At 51.7% G+C, this 17,302-nt stretch overlaps 1 protein-coding gene across 12 annotated transcripts in view, besides 2 other annotated features; it reads left to right on the top strand.

Annotated features, from left to right (window-relative positions):
- Positions 1 to 7,500, top strand: part of ANO10 (anoctamin 10) — a 325,747-nt gene extending 318,247 nt beyond the window's left edge. For 11 of the 12 annotated variants that reach the window (NM_001346469.2, NM_001346468.2, NM_001204833.3 and 8 more), the window contains one exon: positions 6,374 to 7,500. In NM_001346469.2, coding sequence (NP_001333398.1) covers positions 6,374 to 6,442 — 69 coding nt within the window. In that variant the 3' untranslated portion in view covers positions 6,443 to 7,500. Of the gene's footprint in view, positions 1 to 500; positions 621 to 6,373 lie in introns of all 12 variants that reach the window. The other variant, NM_001204831.3, reaches the window with a different exon arrangement.
- Positions 1,208 to 1,789: an enhancer, noted in NCBI's record as "H3K27ac-H3K4me1 hESC enhancer chr3:43413051-43413632 (GRCh37/hg19 assembly coordinates)". NCBI's record gives its function as "activates a minimal SCP1, AML or CMV promoter by ChIP-STARR-seq in naive H9 embryonic stem cells {active_cell/tissue: H9 hESC(naive)}" and the evidence as "EXISTENCE:reporter gene assay evidence [ECO:0000049][PMID:30033119]".
- Positions 3,417 to 3,917: an enhancer, noted in NCBI's record as "H3K4me1 hESC enhancer chr3:43410923-43411423 (GRCh37/hg19 assembly coordinates)". NCBI's record gives its function as "activates a minimal SCP1, AML or CMV promoter by ChIP-STARR-seq in naive H9 embryonic stem cells {active_cell/tissue: H9 hESC(naive)}" and the evidence as "EXISTENCE:reporter gene assay evidence [ECO:0000049][PMID:30033119]".

The following is a 17,302-nucleotide window of genomic DNA, read 5'->3' as shown; positions in this document are numbered from 1 at the left end:
GACCAAGCTGATAATTTGGCACCGTGCTCCTCCCACACAGCTGTAACTGCAGACCACCTTCCGCTTCACCAGAGCCACATCTGAGCTTGCTAATCATGATTTCTGTCACACTCGCCCGTCACTCCACCCCTGACCCTCACCCAGCTTGAGCTTGCTAGCCATGATTTCTGCCACCCACCCCTTCACCCAGCTTCTGAGTCAAAACCTTAGGCTGGGACCCAAATCTGCATTGTTACCAGGGCAGGTAGCTGCTGGGAACCCTGAAACCCGGTGCTTCTGACATAAAGCCCATCCTACTGGTGTGTTTTCTGTGATCCCATACATGGGATTGGCCAATTTGTGGGCCAGAGAGTGATGCTGACTTCAAGAACTTGAATATGTGTTACATGAGAAAAGAGGCTTTTCTCTTTCATACGCATGAAAAAAAGAGGCTTCACAAGTTCATCGGAATTACACTGAGGTTACTGGCTAAATTAGAATTTCTCTGGCTGCTACTGCAGGCTGCAAGCTGCAAGCTGGTCTCTCTTCCACGGTATTCATGGAGCACCAACTCAGTGCCAGGCACTGTCATAGGTCCTGGGGTCTAGTCATGGCCCTGCTCTCTGGAGACCACATACCAGGTAGGATAGAACATTTAAGACAGAAAAAAAATCTGCAAACAATGAATAAACCAGATGGTAATGCGAGGAGTGCAGCAATTGAAATAGAGGGATGGGATGGTGACGGGGGAGGAGGAAATAGAGGGATGAGGAGGAGACAGGCTGAGGACTGAGTGGCAGAAAGGAGTTGCCAGCAAAGCTCAGGCAGGGCAGGCAAGCCTGGGTGGAGGGAGCTGGTGGCTGGAGCAGAACCAAGGTTGGATTGCGGGGCAGCAGGGGACAAGGATGAGAGACAAGAAGGGGTGAACTGTAGTCCCCAGCATGGTAGGGACCTTGGAGTGGCATACTACAGCCCCCCGTTTAAAACCCTGCTTGGGCTGCCTTGAGACAAGAGTGGGATGGTCTGGGGTGCCGTCTCAGTGCAGGCAGGGGCACAGCCTTGAGGAGGGAGGCAGGAGCAGTGCGTGTGTGACAGGTAGAGGGGCTGGGCCGGGGGAGCAGGCATCCGCAGAGATGGCCGAAGTTCCATGGTCTGAGATGCTGGCTGGTGGTGGCACTGCTTCCTGAGATGGGGATGACTGGGAGAAAGGCTGGCTGGGGTGGGAGGTGGGAGCTGGAGCACTGGCACTTGTGGTTGCCTGCAAGTCTTACATTTTTACATTTTGTCAAGTGTTAAAATGAAGCAACAATCAGAGGGAGAGGTGGATGTAACTCCCTCCAGGACCGCCTGACAGGCTGCTGCAAGCACCTTCCTGCCCCTCTACTCACTGCTGTCGTGGCTGTTTAGAGCCTTATGGCACCACCAAGCCCAGACAGGCTTGGACTTTTTAATCATTATATTATGATATTTTCAGAACACTGAGGTAAACTTTTCAATAGAGATAACAAATAAAAAGTCTGTGAAAATAGGTGCTTCAGAAGCCCCACTGTCCTTTTTTGTCTGAATTGTCAGGCTGTTGCTTGATTTTTGCCCTGACTCTAGCTGCATGTCCTCAATAAGCTGCCTAGCCTTGTGAGTCCCCAGGGCCATGTCAGTGACACCTGTAGAGAAGCCCTTGCTTGTGGTTGCAAGGTGTGAATAAGGGGTGTGTGCACAGCTTGAGTGGAGGAGGCTCGAAGTTGATCCTCCCTTCTTCCCCGCCATTCCCCTTCTCAGGGAGACTTGGAGGGTGGCTTCGTTTCAGGCAGTGGCTCTCTACCTCAGCTGCATGTTAGAATCAGTTGGGGAGCTTTGAAAAGTCCCTGTGCCCAGGCCACACTTAGGTGCATTAAATCAGACTTTGGGTCGGGGAGTAGGAATGGGTGATCATGATGCTCCATCTCAGGCCTGCACACCCAAGGCTGGGGTGGCTCGGGGGAACCAGGTGCTGCTGCTGGGCTGAAGTGGCCTGAGAACTCCATTCCTAGACACCCTATGTGGCCAGCAGCCTGGCTGTATCCCAGCCACTGCACCCTGCACTCAGAGGACATGGACGGTGAGGCCACTAGTGAACAGTAACTGATGACGCATGGGATTTTCTATCCTTCAGCCAAGGGCTCCCCAGACAGATTCCTTCTGTAGGTCTTGGTTTGGGACGGGGGGCAGGGGTGAGAAGGGGTAATGGAGTAGTTGCTAGTAGATTTCAAATTGAGCAGGAGATGTAATCAAATGGTAGTGATTCCCTGAATGCTATGAATAGAAGGATCCTAAAGTTTATTGTGGGCTCAGCCAGAAGGAGTCTCTGCTACAAGGCTGGGAGGGAGAAGGGGCCATTTGAGGTCCGTGGTGTCCACCATGGTTATCACAAGTCTATGGAGTCCACCATGGCCATTCCAGGTCTGTGGGAAGCATTGCAATTCTCAGAAAGTATTTCTGTACTTCTCCACAGAGACAAGGGGATCTGGTCACACAGTCTTCCTCAGGTCAAGCTGTGCATTTGGCCAACACACTTAATGATTAGGTTCCTATTATAATCATTACTAATAATGATGCAAAAAATTAGTCAGTGCTTTTTAAAGAATAATTTGGAGCATGGGTGTTTTAATGAGTCACAAGTTAGGGGAAAATTCCATTCTGTCTCCATTTTGATACTTTTTTGGAGAAGTCGTCAGCTCTATTATCTTGCTTATATTTTTATGAAGATTTTAATTTAAGGATCCCCAAAGAAGCCAGGTTTTTTTTAAGGGGATATTGTTGCTCCCTCCCACCCCACCCACCCTCCAGCCAGGTTTGTTAAGGAGAAGAAGCCAAAGAACTGAGCTGCCAGAGGCAGCCTGGTGCCTAGGCACCGTCCCAGCCCACGCAGCCAGAGCCTGCAGTATGGCCTGGGAGAAATCTGTTTCACCCCTCCTGGCCCCAGCTCGCTTATTTGTGAAAGGTGACAGACAACAAATCAGAGACTTGCAAGCCTGGGGTGGCCAGTGGAAAAACTCGAAGGCTCGTTAAAAATTCAGAGAGTCTGGGGTCCACTGCAGGGCCTGCATTTAACCAGGTCTCAGGATTCTTAAGTGGCCATGAGACTGACTGTTCTTCAGGGTTCCTTCCTAATCATAAATTCTGTGATCCTGACATCACTTCTGCCAGTGCTCACCACTTCCCCATCGGGGAGGGTGTGGGAAGTGCTCTTGGGCCAGGGCTGTGGTTAGGGCTCAGCCTCCTCTTCACCAGGAGGACAGCCCTCCTGGAAAACAAATGGGATATTCCTGTTGTACGTCGCATGACCCCCATACTGAGGGTTGCAGACTCATGAGTGGTAGATAGCAATTGGTTTACCTAAGAGAAGCCATCTTAGGGCCAGCCAGCCGGTAATGAGTATCTGTGGCTCTGACTCCATTTGCAGCCAAGGGAGGTAGAGGCCTGCCCCATTTACACAGAAAAGGTGTGAATGTCAGCCACTGATTTCATGACAACTTAGCTTGTCTCAGGAAAGCGGGCTGTTGCAGCTCATTTCCTCCAAATCGCTTGGGTTTTTCTTTGGACTTTAGCTGCAGGTTTTAATTTCTGGTTCTGCCATTGGCTTAGGGTCTTCCAGCTGGGGATTGTGGGCACAGGCAACCCAGGGAGTCGAGCTGAGCCCCCCTCCATACCATGGCCCTGGGAGGGAGAGTGCCCTTGGAAGGAAACCACCTGGTCTGCCACTGCCCTGTGGAGGCCCTGGGAGCACAGCCTTCCTGTCCCCTCCTGTTCCCCTGGCTGCCAAGCTGGCCTTGAGACATCCCATGGCCGTGGCCCAACTTGGGGATCACAGAACACTCCAGTGAGGCTTGGTCATTCATGGCTTTAAAAGAAGCCTTGCTCCAGGACAGGTGAAGGAAAGAGCAGAAATGTGCAAATGGCTCCTGCCTGGCCTGAGGCAAGGGAGGACTGTAGGGTCCCTGGCCATTCTTTCTACCTTTGCCACCAGTAGTGCAGTTCAGTGCAGATGACCTTGTGACCTCGTGGACATCCTCAGGCTCTTAGGTGCTGCCCTGAGCAAGGCAGGCACTGCAGGTGGGAGGAACCCAGCCAAGTGGGTTCCGAGTTCCTTCCCTGAACTTGGGTGAAGCCCCCAACCCTGGGCCTGAGAGAAGGGGCTGTGGCCCTGAAGAAGCCCCTCATGGGCACATCAGTTATAAGGACAAGTGGGGGGCACCCCAGAAGCAGCCCCAGGAAGTGAGACAAAAGTCACATTGGGTTTGGTCATTTGGAGGAGAAGGCCCATCCACCCTGGCTACTGTGGAGCAGGGGGCCCCTCCCAGAGAGCTGCTGGATGCTTCTGTGCCTGACCTCACGGGGCTTCCAGCCACCATGCCTTGAAAGGAGCCTCAGATGCTCCCATTTTGATTTTCTTCCCCATGTGGAATGCCAGGGAAATGTGGCTGCAAGATTCCGTGACAAGCTGGGGAATGTTCTGTCTTCATTATTGTTTTAGTTTAGTTAAATTTACCGCACACAGTGGCTCATGCCCGTAGTCCCAGCTACTTGGGAAATTGAGGCAGGAGGATCCCTTGAGCCCAGGAGTTCGAGGTTGCAGTGTGATCACGCCTCTGCACTCCAGCCTGGGCAACAAAGTGAGACCCTGGCTCTTGAAAAAAAAAAAAAAAGACATTTTAAAAGTCTTACAAGTATTAAATGATAACAGCTAGAAGAGTCTGCAGTGAACCTGGGCTGAAATATTACAGTTTTTATTTATGGTGATATTTTATATCTGTAGTTAACAGCATGGGCTTGTGGGAAGACCTGAAATGTTAGTAATGGAAGAGGTAGCAGATGCAAAAAACTCTGGGGAGACTTTTACAGTGCCTAGCAGTTCAGCCTTTCTAGGTTTGTGAACTATTAAACCATCTCTATCCCCCTGGCAGGATGAAGGTTATAGAAATCTTGCAGTGGTGGGTCATTTGGACAGGGCATGTCCCTGGGCCAGTGTTAACTTGTGTGTCTACCCCCTACTCCAGGCCTACTGAAATGCTGTGGCCCCTGCAGAAAGAACCCTCTTACCCCCACCGCAGGTAAACTGGTCACCTTGACTCTCCGTAGCCCCCTTTCTCATCAAAAGCCATCTCCTAAGCCCTGCTTAGACCTGGATAAGAAAGGGCCAGCCAGTCCCCTCCCCAAGCCAAATGCAGAGGGCTCAGCTTCCAGGAGCCATCATGAGCCGCCCTGTGGGAGACAGGCCAGGCTCAGAAAACATGAGAATGGTCAGGAGTTGAGAGCACCTTCCTGAGGTGCTGCAGATCTAAAGGATCCTTAGGAGGGTAAATTAAAGCAGCAGACAAGGACTTTTGATTGACAGTCTGTGAAAGGGGCTTCTCCCACTGAAAGCCACAGGGAGCATGGTATTGCTTCCAGCCCTGGGTGGCACTTGGGGCTCTCAAGATGAGTAGCCAGGTACTGGGGGTACCAGCCATGTTTGCGCTCAGAGTTTTGTTTTTCCATAGGTGAATCACTGTTATCAAAAATCTGTTTGAAGCCAACTTCCACAGTATTATAGTTATTCATTTATTCAACGAATAGGGCAGAGCTGTAGTGGTGTTTTCTAGCCATAAAACCGAAGTGACTGGGAGCTTCAGGGCTGGGGTAGGGGAAGGTAGGAGCAGCAGAACTGTCCCCTACGCCGCTGCCTGACTTGTGGGAACAGGCTCTCCCTTCTGACACCTCCCTGGAAGTCTCCCATCCTGCCCTCGAGGAGGGCACCTCTATCTTGACGTCACCCTCACAGAGACTTCATGGGTTGTTCCCAGTGAGGATGGGGGCGGAGGGGTGAGTGTAAGTCCTGTGGCTGTACTAGGGACAAAAGGCTGGTGAGAAACATCTGATGATTTGGGGCATCTGTTCTGTGCCAGGGACTTCATGGACAACAATACTTGCAGCCACCCTGCAAAATAGGCACTATTGCTCTCACTGCAGATTTGGAAACTCCGGCTCAGTGAGGTCAAACTGCCAGGGTCGCTCAAAGCACAGGGGCAAAGCAAGCACTTGGTCCCAAGCCTGTGCCCCGTCCTCTCTCAGGCCCTGTCCGCCTATTCCCCTCATCCTGGCCATCCAGGGAGGAGGAGACGCCAGCTGCTTCTCATTTCAGTGTCCTTAAAATCCCTGCTGGTCTGGGCTCACACAGTGCGACATTGCATTTCCACCACACCAACTGTCTCCCATCTCCTCAGAGTCAGACCCAGGGACTTGCAGGAAGCTGCAGGCAGCATCAGAGTCACCACTTCCCTGGGGTCAAAGCCGCTGGCCAGGCTTCCACAGAGAGCAGAGGCCTCGGCCACTACTTAGGCTTCTGTGGCTCACCTGGTGTCCTGTTTTCTCTTAACAGCAAATGAAGCTCGTGACCGAGAACCTGAAGGAGGAACCAATGGAAAGCGGGAAGGAGAAGGCAACCTGAGTGCCCAGCGTGCCCAGCTGCCCTGTTGGCAGAGGCCTGTGTCTGTGCCACACCTGCCACGGTGGCAGGGGGGGTACCCGGGGCAGCATCGTGGCTCCTGAACCCAGACCCAATGCTTAGCCAAACGAAGTGGCTCCCATGTGGCAAGCACCCTTCTCAGTTTCGCAGTGGCTTGGCTCGGGATCCTTGGCAGTTCCCCCAGCCCCACCCTGTCTGCTCCTTCCCAGTTCCTTCCCGGGCCCCACACGCTGCTCCAGCTGCCAACTTTGCTGCAGAGCCACTGCCGCCCTTGAGCCTCTCACCATGAGTGAGCCACCAGCTCTCCACGTTCCCCTCATAGCAGTGTCACTCCCAACCCCACCATGGCCCAGGGACCCGTGGACAGGTTGGGGATGGGGTGTGTGCCCACTGTGCTCATCACAGGAGCCTCAGTTGAGAGTGAGCGGGGTACAGTAAGGCAGTGCTTCCCACACTGGACCTCTTTCCTGGTTCTCTTTTGCAATACATTAACAGACCCTTTATCAACATAAACAATAGTAACTGAGCTATTAAAGGCAACCTCTCTGACTCCTTCTGCCTACATAGGTACCGCAATGGGCTTCCCTTTTCTGAAGCACTTGGTGAGGTCACTGAAGGTGGAGCGGTGAGATCAGGAGCCCAGGGTGAGGGGCTTGGCTGGAGGCCAGGCACCAAAGCTTGTAGCTGAAGGCTGGGCCATTTTTGAGAACTGCTGCTGGTGGTGCCCACCTACAGGGACACTAGGGCTGCTTTCACATGCAGGGTGTACCCATGGTGCCAAGCCAAGGGCCAGCAGCCACTCCTGGTGCCCTGGCCTGGGCTTGGGCTTGCAGAGAAAAGGGCCCTCCTTGCCCAGTGGTGCTGCCCACCTCCCTAGCTGTGTCCATGGACTGCCCTGCATTCACAGGCACAAGAATGCCATGTAGGCCAGTGCTGCCCACGTATACAGCCCTTCCCACCAGCGCTGGCCGTCCTGCTGTAGCCAAGACACTACAGACCCGTGGGCACCTCCACTCGGACAGCAGCAGATGCCCTGGCCCACCCGGAGAAGGTGAGAAGGTGAAGAGCGGGGAGGGCCGCCATGCTTCCTGGTTGGCAGAGGCCTGTTTCCCTCACCTCAGGAGTCGGGCATCTTGATCCCTCCTCCACCTCAGAGATGGGGCAGCCTCCTCAAGCCAATTCAAGCACCACTTGTCTTTGGAGGTCCCGACTCTCCCTGTCTGCCCCTTCATGGGTGTTTGTGTTGGTCCCGTGAGCCCATTCTGTTTTACAGAGTGGACACATGTCAGTGAGCTTTGTCCCTGCCCTTACATGGGATGAGCCACTCCAGGGCCTTGTTATTCGGCGGTTGTTCAGTGTTTGACAGACAGTTTCTAGAACAGGCTCATGTTTGGAAATGTCAGTGAATGGCAGCCACCAATATAGGCCTGAGTCTTGAGACCCAGGATCTTTACTCCATTTCAGCCTGGGCGCCTGTTTGCTGGGAAAGGAGAGGGTTGAAATGGCGCTCTTGGCACCAGCTCTTAGTGTCCCCCTATCCCCCAGAGCCCGGCTTTGGGAGTCAGTCGCATGAATGCAATTGGTTGTGAACCAGTGGGTCCTGGATTCCCGGAACGTGAAGCCACCAAATCACTTGCCACCTGCAGTGCCGCAGAGCCAGGTAGCCTCCTCCCAGCACTGTGACTGTGCCCTTCCCAGAAGCCGCCCATCTGCCCTTCCTCAGCGTCTGATTGGGCACAACTACACCACTTAACTAAGCCTTAGCCAGTCACTGCACAGGGGAGAACGGGACCCTCCAATGGGGCCAGACCTCAGGCACAAGGCCACGGGGGAGGGTGGATGTGGAACCAATTGGGTTGTGTCAAAAGGGATATTGGCAGGACGGGGAGGTTGCCGCGGTTTGCTAGGCTCTAGCTGGCTGGAGCTGTGGCGAGTTCCTCTTCTGTATCCCCCGGCCTGTCGTGGGTGCCATCTGGCACGCCGCAGGTGCTCAGGACTCAATGGCATAGTTGGAAGAGTAGGGGTAGAGGAACAGCGTGTCTGCTGCTTCACATTCTATAGCTCCCTCGCATCTAAGTTGGACTGAGGAAGACATCTAGGCCGATGCCGTCCCACCCACACCCTGGCCTCACACAGCCATTCCCTGCGGTCACGGTCCCCGCCTGGAACCCTGGGGGACCCCCTTCCCTGCACCTCACTTCATCCCCCAGCCCTTCTGGCCACTGGCTCGCCCACTGTTCTCTCGTTGCTGGCCTCACCTCAGCCTCAGATCCAACCCCACCACGCCCCCCACGAGCCTCTTGCGGGCCCACCCTCCCTGGCGGTGCTGCCTTAGGGGCCCCTGGTGACCCTACCCAAGAGAACCTCCCCACTTTGACCACCCAGTTCCCCCGACACCCCTGAGGACTCCAGAGGGTGAACTCCCCCCGCCCCCCGCCCCCCGCCCGACGGTTCCAGCCCGCCTTCCTCCATGGCTTCCAAGAGCTGGGAGGTACCAGCCCCGCGCCCGGCCAAGAAAAGTGCCCAGAGACAGAGCAGCCAAGAGTCAGGAGGCTGAGACTGCAGCGGCCCCTGAGGGACGGACAGGGGCAGGTAGGAAAGGCTTCGGAACCCGGGTCCAAACTCCTCATGGCTTAGAGGAGGGAGGCCCACGCCAGGGAACCACAGGAGACTGAACCCAGGTATTTGGATCCCAGGCCCAGAGCTCTCCCGGCACTGGACAGCTTCCAAGGAGGACAGCTGGAGAGCAGCTGTCGGGCAGGGCGTGGGAAAAGAACCTCGGCCACCCGGGGGAGGCCCCAGTGAGTTAAGCCCAGGCCCCGTTCTCACGCGCAAGCCCGTTCCACCTGCGACCTCGGAGAAGGGTTCCCAGGGAGCCCCCCGCCCCTGCAAGTTGCTCAGACGGGCTCTAGGTGCCCCGCGGCTCCTGCGGTATCTGCGCAGACAGCCCTGCCCGAGCGCTCCTGCCTCACCTCAAAAGTGGCCAGGGAGGTCGTGACTGTCGCATGCATCCCTAACCTGCCTCCCTCAAGCCATGAGATACAGGCTGTCTCCAAGTCCCACAGATTGTCACTGGGACTTGACCCCAGTGGGGGTTTGGCCGCAGGCCCAATTCACTTCACAGCCCAACTCTTCTCTTTCACACAACCAGCGCAGACCGTGTTGAGCCCTGTGCTGGTGACATTTCCTAGGTGCCCTCCCCATGGGGGAGGGCTGTCCCACTCCACACAGGCGGCTCCTCTCACTCTCCAGTGCACTAAAGCCCCACACAGAGGCCAACAGAAACCCCAGAGCATCCCAGGGCTGCAGCCTCCGGGCAGGGGGATCAGGCAGTGGACCCTTCCCCCTCATGGTGGCCACACTGCCAAACTCCCCATCAGCAGCTCAAAAGCTCAGACTTGAGAACAAATCTTTATTTTAGCAGCTTCACTAGCAAATAAGAAGCGAATGCTCATGGCCAACCAGCCCTGCAGCAAAGCTGGATGGCCAAGAGCCCTCTGGGTCACTGTTGCCTCACGTTGTCCCCATTTAATAAAGGAACCCTGAGGCTTGCAGGGTTCAAGTGATTTCTCCACAGCCCATGTCCACCCACATCTGTCCTTTGCCATCTGTGCCAAGCCCCGCTTCCACACAGGCTCTGCCCGGCACCTGAGACCCGTGTTCCCAGCCTCAAACCCTGTGGCTCCTGCCCTTCTTCCAGCACAAAAGTAGCAACAGGAAGAAGGAAGGCCGAAGGCCACACACTGAGGACCGAAGGGTCCAGACTGGTCCTTACTAAGTTTTAAGAACCCCATGACCCTGCAAGGACAGTGCCTGGCCAGTGCCTTGATAAACAGCCAGACAGTGTGGGCCTTGGTGAACTTCTTGCCAGTAGCTGAGTCTACAGGGTTGCCAGGCTCCAGGCCTCCCTGCATGCCCTCTACGCCCCATCCAAGGGACCTGACAGAACCTGGAGCCTCCAGCACCTCTGGAAGCCCAACAGGACACAGCCAGGGGAGCTGTGTCCTCAGGCTTGGGAACACCCTTCTGTCCCGACCACAAGATGGGCCACAGCCACTTGAGAAGGAAGATGCTTTTCCTGGTCCTGGGAAGGGAACCAGTCAGGTAGGCACCGTGGAAGGGTGTGGGGAGCCGCTTCCTAACTCTCCAGGAGTCAAAGTTAGGAGGTCTTGTTCGCTAGCCCAGGGCCCCAGTCAAGGCCTGCACCAGGGTGGGCAGGGAGCCTGAAATCAAGGCCTTGTGGCTGGAGCCAGGCTCAGCAACAGGGCCTCACGTTCCTCTGAGTGTGGCCACAGACCTTGGGAGAGCATCGCCTAGACCTTGTTCCATGCAGATGCCCAGTGCCACCACCCAGGCCTGAGAAGCCACATGGTGATGGTTTGGCCCAGGAATCTGTATCTTTAACAATGCTTGCATTGGATGCTGTTGCACGCTGAAATCCGAGAACCACAGCAGGTTAAAGAGCCTTGCTGGTTTCTGCCCAAGAGCAGCTGATGCTAAAGGCCCCTGCAGAGCCAGCCTCCTTCCCTGCCAACTTGCCACCATGGGGGCAGGTCTGGGGTGCTTCTATGGGGCTGCCAGGGATCTAGAGCCACAAGCATCCTGGGCCTGAACAGGATCCAGGACAGAAAGGAGCAACAAGGTATGGGACCCAAGAGACCAGTTTCTTCCCCACCTGGCGTTAGATGACTGACATCTCCCACCATCCTCTGTAAGCCTTGGAGATTCTTGGGCAATTCAGAGTTGGCAGCAATCTCCACTCAGCAGGGAGGAGACCCTTGACTTCCTGCTGATTGGTATGTGGGGGCCTCACATGATAGACAAGAGAGGTCTGATGAAGTTTGTCCCCTAAGTTTGTGGCACAGATCACGCTGATTGCATTTGGCTCAAGAAAGGTGGCCTCCTCGATAGATCTTATAGTGCTGGTGAATTTCTTCAGTGAAAGGGGAAAACAGTGGCACAGAGCACATGGATTATGAGGCTCCTTCCCTTGTATTATTCCCACCCACCCATTATTACCTCCTGTTTTCACCGGAGAGTCCCACGGCCCAGGGGGTGGATAGATGCAGTCACTGCAAGAAGTGGAGGCAGAGCTTCAATAAATCCAGGCCAGCTGACCCTCTGTGGGAGAAAGGAAAACGCACCCCCAAGTCTCCCAAGGCCCAGGCCTGGGCAACCAGCTGAGGTGTGAAGAGCTTCTGGCCAAATCATCAAATTAATGTGTGCTCAATACAAGGAAAATCACTGTATATTTCTGAAAAATTAACCAGAAGGGCAACAGTAGGGTAGACGTGGATACGTGGATATGTACCTCCCTTTACATAACTGTCCGGCTCAGAAAACAGAAACCAAAGGTGTCTCCATCCTAAGGGAGACTGAAGAGCAACTCACCGTCACCTCTACCTCCCCTTCCCAGAACACAAGGCCACAAACTGGCACCCAGAGTTTGTCCTAGCAAGTGGGGTCAATAAAGACAGGGAGGGCAATAGTGTGGCACAAACGACTGTTTTCTGGGACTTGCCCGCCCTTCTGCCACCATACTGGGGTGGCCTGCCTGGTCATGGTGCCCTTGTAAGCCGTTTGCTGCAGGAGCTGCTCTCCAGCTATAAATGGCTCTGTAGCTGCTGGCATTTGCACCACAACAGAAGGAAGAATGCAGGCTGGGATTTGCAGTAATAATCTGAATCCAGTGACGTGGCAGGCCTCCACCTAAAATACGTCCACTGATGCAGGATTTTGCTGCAATTCTTGCACAAACATGTTGATGACATTGATTCCTAATGGACAGAAGGCATCTTAGGGACTGAGAGGCACTTCTTGCCTAGTTCCAATTTCCTCTCAGACAGCTGGTCCCAGGGAATGGCCACCCAGACCAGGGAAGCTACCTAGAGCTGGAATTCTTTGGGAAATGTTGTGAGCCCAGGTCTTAGCCCCTGAATCTGAATGGTTCCTCATCATGAGGTGTAAGAAGTGGCTTCACCTAGTTTCATCTACATGCCTACAATCTCTTAGGACCAGATGTGTCACGGAATTTTGACTTGTTCAGGTGTTAGAAAGGTAACAAGATGCATATACATGTGTTATGCTGTTATGCAACAGCTTGAGTGTGGTATAAAGTGGACTCCTATAGTCAATTGCCTTAATATTGCTTTCCTCAGCCCTCTGTTACCAGAAGGTCAAAGGCAAAGTTGAGATAGTGCCATCTTCTCACACCTCTCCCCACCCAGCTGGGCAGCCTGAGGAGTGGGCTCCAGGATCAGGTAAACAGTGCATCCCTGGCCAAGACTCTTTTCTGAGCCTCATTGCCCCCTGCAAATGAAATGCAAACAACAGCCTGCCCTGCCCATCCCTTTCTGTGGGGTTCCATCAAAATAACAATTCTGCATTCTCTGGCTTTTAAGCCTCTGAAGTCTGCCTTTGAGAAGAGGTTCACACACCATGCCTCTTTTGCCCAAACACTTTTTTTTTTTTTTTTTTTGAGACGGAGTCTCCCTCTGTCGCCCAGGCTGGAGTGCAGTGGCACGATCTCAGCTCACTGCAAGCTCCGCCTCCTGGGTTCGCGCCATTCTCCTGCGTCAGCCTCCTGAGTAGCTGGGACTACAGATGCCTGCCACCACGCCTGGCTAATTTTTTCTATTTTTTAGTAGAGACAGGGTTTCACCATGTTAGCCAGGATGGTTTTGATCTGACCTCGTGATCCACCCGCCTCCGCCTCCCAAAGTGCTGGGATTACAGGCGTGAGCCACTGTGCCCAGTCTTTTTTTTTTTAGATGGAGTCTTGCTCTGTTGCCCAGGCTGGAATGCAGTGGTGCAATCTTGGCTCACTGCAACCTTCGCCTCCTGGGTTCAAGCAATTCTCCTGCCTCAGCCTCCCAAGTAGTTGGCATTACAGGCGCCTGCCACCACACCCAGCTAATTTTTGTATTTTTAGTAGAGACAGGGTTTCACCGTATTAGCCAGGCTGGTCTCGAACCCCTGACCTAAGGTGATCGGCCCGCCTCGGCCTCCCAAAGTGCTAGGATTACAGGCATGAGCCACCATGCCCGGCCCTCCTCTGAGACTCTTTTCGTGGCACACAAGTCATGAGTCAGTGGACAGGCAACGAGAATTTCGGGTTGAGAGCAGCATGGGTGAGCTAGAGAGAGCTGTGGAAGGGAAGGTGTCCAGGCAGAGCCAGGGGCAGGAGCAGTGTAGCTAAGAGGGAAAGAATTCCCATTTCCAAGACCCTCCATTCCATTCTTGAGTGCCCACCTGTGTTCTAACCACCTCTCTCCTCACACTTCCAGAGAGGCCCCCACAGTACCTACTCCTAGGTTTTTTTAAAATTCCCCTTGGCCTCAGGGTGACCTCTGGCTCACAGGCTGCACAGCCTTTATGAGAATTCTCAGGCTCACCTGCTGGTGTCCCACTCTCTGGCTTCACTCCCCACCTCCACATTTGAGTGGTCCCTGGGCTTCTGTCTCGGGCCTTTGCTGCCTTCTCTGGGCCTAAGCTCTCACCAAAGTCTCCCATTCTCAAGGGTGAGAGCATTCCTCAATACTTGCAGAGCACAGAGCTACAAAGGAATCCCTTGGCCAGGTGCAGAACCCACAGGTGCAAAATGAAAATGCAATGCCCTTTTTCAAACATTATTAAGAATTTTATCTTAGGCTGGGTGCAGTGGCTCACACCTGTAATTCCAGCACTTTCAGAGGCAGAGGCGGGTGGATCACCTGAGGTCAGGAGTTCAATACCAGCCTGGGCAACATAGTGAAACCCCGTCTTTACTAAAAATACAAAAATTAGCCGGGTGTGGTGGTGCACGCCTGTATTCCCAGCTACTCAGGAGACTGAGGTGGGAGAATCACTTGAGCCCAGGAGGTGGAGATTGCAGTGAGCTGAGATCGTGCCACCACACTCCAGCCTGGCAGAGTGAGACTCTGTCAACAACAACAACAACAAAATTTTATTTTATTTTTCAACTTTTAAGTTCAGAGGTACATGTGCAGGTTTCTCATATAGGTAAAACTGGTGTCATGGAGGTTTGTTGTACAGATTATTTCATCACCCAGGTATTAAGCCTAGTATCTATTATTTTTCCTGTCCTCTCCCTCATCCCACCCTTCACCTTCAGGTAGGCCTCAGTGTCTGTTGTTCCCTTCTATGTGTCCATGTGTTCTCATCATTTAGCTCCCACTTATAAGTGAGGACTTGTGGTATTTGGTTTTCTGTTCCTGTGTTAGTTTGCTAAGGATAACAGCCTCCAGCTCTATGCATATTGCAGCAAAAGACAAGATCTTGTTCTTCTTTATGGCTGTGTAGTATTCCATGGTGTATATGTACCACATTTTCTTTATCCAGTCTATCATTGATGGGCATTTAGGTTGATTCCATATCTTTGCTATTGTGAATAGTGCTACAGTGAACATAAATGTGCATGTCTCTTTATGATAGAACGATTTATATTCCTTTGGGTATATATCAAAAGTATATACCCCTTGGTATGTTGATAGTTCTGTTTTTAGCTCTTTGAGGAATTGTACTTTCCACAATGGCTGAAATAATTTACACTTCCACCAACAGTGTATAAGAGTTCCTTTTTCTCCACAACCTCACCAGCGTCTGTTTTGACTTTTTAATAATAGCCATTCTGACTGGTGTGAGAATGGTATCTCATTATGGTTTTGATTTGAATTTCTCTAATAATCAGTAATGTTGAGCTTTTCTTCACATGCTTGTTGGCCACATGTATGTCTTCTTTCAAGATGTGTCTGTTCATGTCCTTTGCCCACATTTTAATGGGGTTGCTTTCTTCTTATACATTTAAGTTCCTTATAGATGCTGGATATTAGACCTTTGTCAGATGCATAGTTTGCAAAAATTTTCTCCCATTCTGTAGGTTGTCTGTTTACTCTGTTGGCAGTTTCTTCTGCTGTGCAGAAGCTCATTAGTTTAATTAGATCCCATTTGTCCATTTTTGTTTTTGTTGCAATTGCTTTTGGCATTTTTGTCATGGAATCTTTGCCCATTCCTGTGTCCAGAATGGTATTGCCTATGTTGTCTTCCAGGTTTTTTATAGTTTTGGGTTTTACATTGAAGTCTCTTACCTGTCTTGAGTTGATTTTTGTATATGATGTAAGGAAGGGGTCCAGTTTCAGTTTGCATATCGCTAACCAGTTACCCCAGTACCATTTATTGAATAGGGGGTCCGTTCCCATTGTTTGTTTTTGTCAGCTTTGTCAAAGATCAGATGGTTGTAGGTGTGCAGACTTATTTCTCGGCTCTCTATTCTGTTCCATTGGTCTGTGTGTCTGTTTTCATACCAGTACCATGCTGTCTTGGTTACTGTGGCCTTGTAATATAGTTTGAAAGCAGGTAGCATGATGCCTCCAGCATTGTTCTTTTTGCTTAGAATTGCCTTGGCTATTCAGGCTCTTTTTTGGTTCCATGAGAATTTCAAAATAGTTTTTTCTAGTTCTGTTTAGAAGGTCATTGGTATTTTGATAGGAATAGCATTGAACCTGTAAATTGCATTGGACAGTATGGCCATTTTAATGATATTGATTCTTCCTATCTATGAGCATGAAATGTTTTTCCACTTGTTGGTGTTATCTCAGATTTCTTTGAGCAGTGTTTTGTTTGTTTGTTTGTTTGTTTGTTTCAGAAGGAGTCTCACTCTGTCGCCCAGGCTGGAGTGCAGTGGTGCAATCTCGGCTCACTGCAACCTCTGAGCAGTATTTTGTAGTTCTCATTGTAGAGATGGTTCACCTTCCTGGTCAGCTGTATTCCTAGATATTTTATTCTTTTTGTGGCAGTTGTGAATGGGATTGCCTTCCTGATTCAGCTCTTGGCTTGACTATTCTTGATGTATAGGAATGCTAGTGATTTTTGTACATCAATTTTGTTTCCTGAGACTGCCAAAGTTGTTTATCAGCTGAAGGAGCTTTTGGGCTGAGACTACGGGGTTTTCTAGATATAGAATCATGTGTCTGCAAACAGGATAGTTTGACTTCCTCTCTTCTTATTTGGATGCCCTTTATTTCTTTCTCTTGCCAGGACTTGCCCTGGCCAGGACCTCTAATACTATGTTGAATAGGAGTGGTGAGAGAGGACATCTTTGTCTTGTGCCAGTTTTCAAGGGAAATGCTCCAGCTTTTGTCCATTCAGTATGATGTGGCTATGGGTTGGTCACAGATGGCTCTTATTATTATTATCATTATTTTTTAGATAGAGTCTCATTCTGTTGCCCAGGCTGGAGTGCAATGGCACGATCTCCACTCACTGCAGCCTCTGCCTCCCAGGTTCAAGCAATTCTTCTGCCTCAGCCTCCCTCCCGGGTAGCTGGGACTACAGGCACGTGCCACCAAACCCAGCTAATTTTTGTATTTTTAGTAGAGACGGGGTTTCACCATGTTGGCCAGGCTGGTCTTGAACTCCTGACCTCATGATCCGCCAACCGTGGCCTCCCGAAGTTCTGGGATTACAGGCATGAGCCACCATGCCCGGCCAGATGACTCTGATTATTTTGAGGTATGTTCCTTCGATACCTAGTTTATTGAGAGAGTTGAACATGAAAGCATGTTGAATTTTGTTGAAAGCCTTTTCTGCATCTATTGAGATAATCATGTGGTCTCTGTCTTTATTTCTGCTTATGTGATGAGTCACATTTATTGAGTTGCATATGTTGAACCAACCTTGAATTCTGGGGATGAAGCCTACTTGATCATGGTGGATAAGCTTTTTGATGTGCTGCTGGATTTGGCTTGCCAGCATTTTGTTGAGGATTTTTGCATCAATGTTCATCAAGGATATTGGCCTGAAGTTTTCTTGAGTCTCTGCTAGTTTTTGTTATCAGGATGATGC

Source organism: Homo sapiens, chromosome 3, assembly GCF_000001405.40.
Source record: "Homo sapiens chromosome 3, GRCh38.p14 Primary Assembly".
Lineage (NCBI taxonomy): Eukaryota > Metazoa > Chordata > Mammalia > Primates > Hominidae > Homo > Homo sapiens.
Note: the sequence above shows the minus strand (reverse complement) of the source record. Positions and strands in the feature narration are given on the sequence as shown.